The following is an 8,081-nucleotide window of genomic DNA, read 5'->3' as shown; positions in this document are numbered from 1 at the left end:
CTGGAAGAGACAGGAGAAACAATGAGGCTACAGTCAGTTAATGAGCCACTGAATCGAACTCATTGAGTAGAGAAATCTATGTGCAGGTAAGAAGATTGCACGGTTCATGTCAATCTTCACATTCTTACTAATATTAGGATTTTAGCATGCTAATATCATTTATTTTTATCATGTTTAAGGCATATTTTTTCACTGTTTTTACAACTGATGGCATATTATCATTTAATTGGCAACGTTTAGTCTTTCTTTCTTTCTTTTCTTTCTTTCTTTCTTTTTTTATTTGAGATGGAGTTTCGCTCTGTCGCCAGGCTAGAGTGCAGTGGCACAATCTCGGCTCACTGCAACCTCCACCTACCGGGTTCAAGCAATTCTACTGCCTCAGCCTCCCGAGAAGCTGGGACTACAGGTGCGTGCCACCACACCCAGCTAATTTTTGTATTTTTAGTAGAGACGGGGTTTCACCATGCTGGCCAGGATGGTCTGGATCTCTTGACCTTGTGATCCGCCAGCCTCAGCCTCCCAAAGTGCTGGGACTACAGGTGTAAGCCACCATGCCCGGCCTGGTCTTTCTTAGTGATACATAAAATAATGGCATTTCTCACAATCAATTTGTCATAGATTTGAGGAAACGCTATAGAGGTAGTGCCCTTACTTGCATATCTTAAAATCCACATTTTCTAAATGAACACCTCCAGGAATTCCTCCCATTTAGTCAACTATGTGTTGAATATTTTGGCTTCAGTTTCTTGACTTTTAAAATAATTAAACATATAAACAAGTTAGAAAAACTAGTTTATTATGCCCAGAGAATGTGGTACTGCTTATGAATTTCTCGATCTAACTTTCTGCAAAGGAAGGCTGTAAAAACACCAAATCTGGACTCTCCGTAGGGTAGTTCTGATCTAGGAACACATCACAATTAAATTGTTTAACACTACGCTTGAAGATTTATACAAACACACACTGTTTTTAAAACTTCACTTAGATCTGGTTAGAGTATTCACTTCTTCTTCTTAAGGAATGGTCAAAATGTAATGAATCAAGAAAAGGCTTTGTATTTCAAGAATTTTTTTAAAACAATTTGTATATACTGTAAATGTCAAGCAATAGGAGGTTGGTTAAATAAATTATGGTTAACAATAGATTGCAAACCATATAGTGATTAAAATAATTATTAGGTAACTTGAAAAATGCTTAATGGAAAAAGTTTTAAAATTAGATTCCAGGATACCATGCTCTAAATAAGCCAAATTTTGGGGTAAAAAAAATAAAAAACCATGAAACCAGACATAGAAGCAGAACCTAAAGCATATTTATCAAAATATCTTTGTTTAAAAAAAATGTCTTCAGTGGTCGTCTTGGCTGGTGGGATTTTAGGTCATTTTAATTATCTTTATAAAACTTTATTCTCTCGAATTTTAAAATTAACATCTATTTCTCTTATAATTAAAAATTAAATGTTATATTTTTTAAAAAGTATAGTTTATTTATTCCAGTAGTAAAACATTATTGAAAAATGTAACTCTTGTGCAGATTCTCTTTAATTTCTTTTCAGCATGAAAATGAGGAGATGGCATGTCTTAGTTTTGTCATCCCATTTTCAGACTCACATGGCAAATGTCATAGAGTTCAGGTATCAGTTCTGCCTGTGGCTTTTTGTTACCTGTTGGAACTCAAGATATTTTGGGGAGTTAATGACATTGAGCTACAAGACTTAATAATGAAAAATTCCACTCGAAGTGTTCTTAGCATCTTCTCACAGGCACCTGGCAAAGCCTCAGCTAATGGTAGTAAAACTTCAATATGGAAAGCTGCAGTTACTTGCAGATATCCTCTCCACAGCTAATTAAAATGACTGCATATATTCATCCACATGCCCACACACACAAACTACAGTAGCATTGGGAATCTAGGAAGTGACTAGAATGGTTGACAAAAGCTGCAAGAACCACATAGAATTAAAGAAAAAAACCAACAACTTCTTAGCATAAAGGCAGCATAAATAAAGTTAAAGAAGGTGAGGTCACTGAGAGACAAATATTTGTAACAGACTGAACAGATACAAAATTAGAATTCAGAATATATGAGTAATTTCTAAGGATAAACAGAAAAGCAAAAAACAGAAAATATTTTTAAAGTATATTCTCAAACAGTTCATGAAAGATGAGATGGAGTTTCGCTCTGTCGCCAGGCTAGAGTGCAGTGGCACAATCTCAGCTCACTGCAACCTCCACCTACCGGGTTCAAGCAATTCTACTGCCTCAGCCTCCCGAGAAGCTGGGACTACAGGTGCTCCAAGGTGCTTGAGTTTGGAAACATGAGACAAAACCAGAAACAGAGACCCTGGGAGAGTCTGTGGTCTCCATTTTTCCGCTGAGCAAACCACAGGCTTGTGTTCTGCCTATCTCCCACTTCGCACATGTACAGCATTGTAGAATATTTACATGGATAAGGATTCTATGATATAGTAGAGTGACTTCCCCTATTGATAACAAACAATTATGTCAGTCCCTACACAACTCTTATGCTAAAGGTAATGGGGAGGGTTGAATGGTACTCATTTGGGCAGCTTTTTTTTGGCTATGTATACTTTCAGAAAGAATTTACCTCACCTAGATCACATGACTAAAATATCGGAATATTAATACCCACTGTGTCTAATTGGCAGATTGTTTTGAGATTTTAAATGAGATCTATTCATGAAAACATTTTGTTAATCTTAAAGCACCACACCAATATCACCTATTATATTGTACAGCCATGATCAACACAATTTCCAATCTAGAAGTCCCTCTCAACTTTTCCTGGGACTGAGCTTTCAGGACTTAGAGTTCCTTCTCCTTCTCATTCTTTTTCTGCGCATAGTCTCCCGGTAAAGTGAAAACCAGCTGAGAAAAGATTCGGGCTGGACAGGCCTCCGTGGCGATTAAGAGTCACGAATGTGATGATATTATTCGCAAACAGCAGTGTAGTCATGGTTCAGAATTTTGGAAACAGTGCCAGGAGGATCTTGGACATAATTTTCAGGGTGTATAAGCCCTGCACTAAAGTAAAGTTTACCAGTGCCAAGAGTTTGACGTTTTCTTCTTCATGTTTTCTTTGGCTGGAGCCTGGCTTTAGTTGAAGAGTTCTGTCAACAAATGGAATTCTCTATTTGGGACTGGGATTCTTGATTGGTGGTACTTCTGTCTCCTCTTGCTGTGAGTTTCCTCAAACTTAGAGTCCTGTGGGATCTGTGTTTGAACAGAGACTGGAAATGCTTACCTCATCTCCACATTTCTTAGCCATTTGTCACCAGACTGTAGATTGACTGGTGGGATGCCTGTTTCTAGAGAGAAAAGATACTGCTTTTCTCTGACTCCAGCTGAGAAGAGGTTGGTTAAATTACGAATCTGATGACTATCTATGAACCTAAGGAGGAAAAGTTAATTTCTTTTGAGGGTTTGCATAATGTTTTAAAACAAATTTATAGAAATATAGATGATGGAAAAAAGCAATAGGGTAAACCTAAATTATTAAAAATAAATAATACATAGGAAATAAACAGCATAGAAAAGAAACAAAAAAGAGATTGTTACCAAAAACCATAAGTTTTTTTTTTTTTGAAAATTCTAAGAAGGTGGATAAATTTCTGGAATTTTCAATGAGCAAAAAAGTGAAAAGATACAAATGAATAAAAAATGAAAAGGTAGAAATTAAAATAGGTCTAGTAGAGATTAAAAATAATAAAAGAATATTATTAAAAAGTATTGGTGGATAAAATAGGCACATATCTGAAGATAAAAGCCGAATTGACCCCCTAAAAAGCAGAAAACTTACAATAACAATCATTAATGGCTTTGAATGGCTATGAAAAAATAATATCTCTGCCCTCTTCACTACTCCCATGTAAAATAATTTTACGGGTAGATTTTACCAACGTTTCAAGAGAGACATGATTCCCAAATATTATGTAAGTTTTTTCAGAAAATGAAAAAAAAGAAAACATTAACAACTCATTTTATAAAATTTGCATAATTTAGAAAATGCATACACTAATTTTATAGATAAAAGCATTTAAAAATATTATCCAAGTTCAACATTTTAAAAAGCAACACATTTTTACAATTTTCTCAGGAATAGAAAGATAGTTCAACTCCAGAAAATCTAAAACAGAGTCATCTCAATATACATGAAAAAAAGATGAAAATTATTAGAAAGCTAGAAATACACAGGAATTTTATAATCTAATAAACCCTATGTACAAATATTCCACAACAAATTTCATGTTTAATGGATAAATCTGAGGCACTTATTTTCAAGTCAGGAACTAGATATATATGCTTTGTATAAGTGATACCTGTCAGCACAGTGTGCTAACAATTTTAGTCAATACAGTGAAAAAGAAAATAATTGTTATAAATAATACATTGTAATTATTTGCTGATGATATGATCATTTACATTTAAAATGCAAGAGTATTAATGGCAAACTAGTCACACCAATAAGAAAGTTCAGCAAAATTTTCTAACATAAGATCAACATATAAAAGTAAATAAGTTTTCTCTATATCAACAATATTATATTAGAAACCATAATAAAAAGAAGCAACACACTCATAAAATATATAGAAATGAATTTTTTTAATGCATAGGATTTATAAAAAAATTATAAAGCCCTAGTAAAGCACAAGAAAGAAAGTTCAAATAAATGGAGAAATACACTATGTTCATGAATGGGGAGACTTTATCTTGTAAATACATCGGTTTTTCTAAGTTTGGAATATATTTAATGCATTTCCAATAATAATTACAAGAAGAATCATGGGAAAAATTCCATATTGATTTAAAATATATAGAGAGAAATAAAGGTCCTAAAATAGTTAACACAGATTTTAACTTTTGAATTAAGGTGGAGAGAAGAAAGGATGACTAATCCTTCTAGATATTAACAAATACTGCAGAGCAACAATTAGTAAAATACATTCATTTTTGTATAAGAATAAGTAGATATACAGTACAAGATCGACAGTCCAGAAACAGACTGATATCTCTACATGAACTTGGTAAATGATGGTGATGGCATCGTAAATCAGCGGAAAATGTTTTAAGTTTAAAATAAATGTTCTATGGAAAGTAGGCTAATTATATGAGAAATAATCAGTTAAATGCTCCAGATATACCAAGAAGATATAAAATACATAGGACTTTTCAAGAGAAATTGATGGATTTGACTATAAAAATAAATAGTTTGGCTAACACAGGACAGCATAAGTCAAAATAATAGTCCAGGAAGTGATATTTACATCATTAATGACAAAAATTCTAGAGCTATATAAGGAAAATCACTAATTAATTTAAAAATTAGACACAGGATGCAATTAAACTGTTTAACAAGAGGAATTTGAACGGACAAGTCTTTGAAGAGAGTCTTCTCAGCATTGCTTTTAGGTAGAGAGTAGCATTTAAATTACCATGCAATCTCTTTCTTCTTCATTTTAACCACGTCTTACCATTAGACTTTCAGGATCAAGCTATCTGTTGCTAAGAAACAAAAGCAAAATTGCCTTTTTCTCAACAGATTTAAGTGAAAATCAGTAGTCAGTTCAGGTGTGACTCTAAGAAGACACATTGGAGAGTATGCTGGGCTTACATGAAGCTAGCTACGTGTGTTGGCTCACACATCTATCTTGCATTGGTTCCACGTTCCTTCTCATGATCCTCTGAGCAGAAATATTTTTCACAGTTATTAGTTACAATTTGCTGGAAATTGCAACCCATTGGAGTTTTTTTCCCTTGTTTTCTTAAATTCACTAATAAACATATGTGACACTTTTTGAACTATTTACCAAACGTGACTTTGAGGCTACATTACCAACTTCAGCCAGGTGGTTTAACACATTTGAGCATCACACTTGGTGCTTAAAAGGTGCTAAGTAAAATATTAAATGAATCCAGCAGGAACAAATGAGAAACCCATTTATAATCATTGCATTGGCAAAAATTAAAATGCTGGAAAGCGTAAGTGTTGGTGAGGTTGTAGAGAAACAAGAACTCTTCTCTACTGAGAGTGGAGGGATAAATTAATGTTGTTATTCTGGAGAATAATTTAATAATACTAGTGAAATTACATATATTCATATTCTATGGCTTTGCAGTTTCATTACTGAGTATACACCCCTCAGTTACTCTTCTGGAGATATATTAAAGATAAGTTCTCAGAAGTTTACTTACTGCAGCACAGTTTGAACCAACAAAGAGTTGGAAATAACTCGAATGCCCATTAGTGAGAAATGAATAATCAAAATGTGAAATATGCAAGTAGTGGAGTACCATGCAGTAGTTAGAAGTAATAAACTACATTTAAGTACATCTACATTAATAAATCTCAAAAATATGATGATAAGTAAAACAAGTTAGAAGAAGAAATGTAGCAAAATGCCAAGTATGTTAAAAACACAAGAGTGAGTACCTGCATGTAATGTTATTATAATACTACCAAATATAAGGATATAAAAAGAGCAATCCTGCATCACTGATAATATTCTACTATAAGCTGATTGTTGTAAAGTTAGTTTTTTTGCCTCTAAAATAAAAATAAAATTTGCAGTAACCTTCAAAATTAGTAAATAAAATTAAAAAATAGAACTATTAGGAGCTACAAACGATTTGGGTCAGTGTGAGTCTCATGTATATAATTTCCATTCACATTTAGTGTGCTGCACATTTTCTTACATCAATTCATTCATTCTGTGAATTCATTCATTCTATGAATTCATTCTATCAATTCATTTATTGCTTATTGATAACTAATACCATTCATAATTCATAATTGCTTATTGATAACTAATACCATTCTAATGATTGTTCCTTCTCTTATTATCCATTTTTCTCATTTGAGGTCTATGGTATCACGAGTTGATATCAGAAAGTCTTGTTACCATTGTCTATAAATTTCTAAGATTACTTTTACCATCTTTGATGATTTCTGGTAATAAAGGCTGGGCAATATAGGGATGCAGACAATATTTTTGATCTACTTGCAGTCACATAATCAGTTTCCTAAATGAAGTAATACTTCATTTATGGAAACTTGTTGTCAATTTTCCTGTCCATCTGTCTTCTGGTACATTTTCAGTGACTTCAGCATTTATGTTATAATATGCTAACCATGCTTCCCATTCTTTACTATTTCTATTCCTCTGCTTAGCTAGTAGCAAGGAGATCCTTAAGCCCCATGACCAATTGTCACTAATCCTCTAAGATATCTCCTGAACCTTTTAACTATAAACCCTTGTTTATATAGTAAGACTGCCCATTTATTATAATTTCAGCCACTCCATTAGCTTTGCTTCTGATCAGACACTTAGCAACTTTTTTGATTACCAGTGCCTGGCCAAAGTTCACGTGGGTTCCTATACATGCTTAATAATTGTCTGCTCAGTTGCTGATGAAATCTCTATATCTCTGCCAATCAACCTTCTGCTTTTCTCAAGCCTAATCCTGCTCACTTTATTCTCAGACAGATGTTTTTTATTTATTATTACTGCTCCTGCTCCTTCTCCCTCTACCACTACCACTACCACTACAATAGCTTAGGAAAGCTCCTGGAACATAGTAAACACTCAGTAAATGTTCACTGCTGTTCTTATCAATGCTACTACACTACTGTTAAGTCTCCTAGGACCACCACATGGTGAACATTTATTATATGTCAAGCCTTGTGCCAAGTATTTTACACGTATCATCTCATATAATTTAATATATTTTTACTGAGAACATTGAAACCATTCAAAAAGTAATCTCTAGCTTTTTTCAAAATTGATTTCCTTATAAAGTAACACCTTTTAATCTCACAAAAGAGGTCTGCTCACCCTGTCCAAGACCAACACCTTGACATGTATTTTCATCCTCTGTCTTTTCTGTCACTTCCAAGGCCCTGTTTTGTTGCCTTCTGACTTCTAGATTCTTCAGTCTCTTCCACTGGCTCCTTTTTTGGCCTTTCAATATGCCTACGTCTAATTTGTCTTGAAAACCCCCAGGTCTGAATGTTTTTCTGTAAAAGATTCTTTCATATTTTTCTCCTGCCTATCATTGTGCTTA

This window comes from Homo sapiens, chromosome 7, assembly GCF_000001405.40.
Source record: "Homo sapiens chromosome 7, GRCh38.p14 Primary Assembly".
Taxonomy (NCBI): Eukaryota; Metazoa; Chordata; class Mammalia; order Primates; family Hominidae; genus Homo; species Homo sapiens.
Note: the sequence above shows the minus strand (reverse complement) of the source record.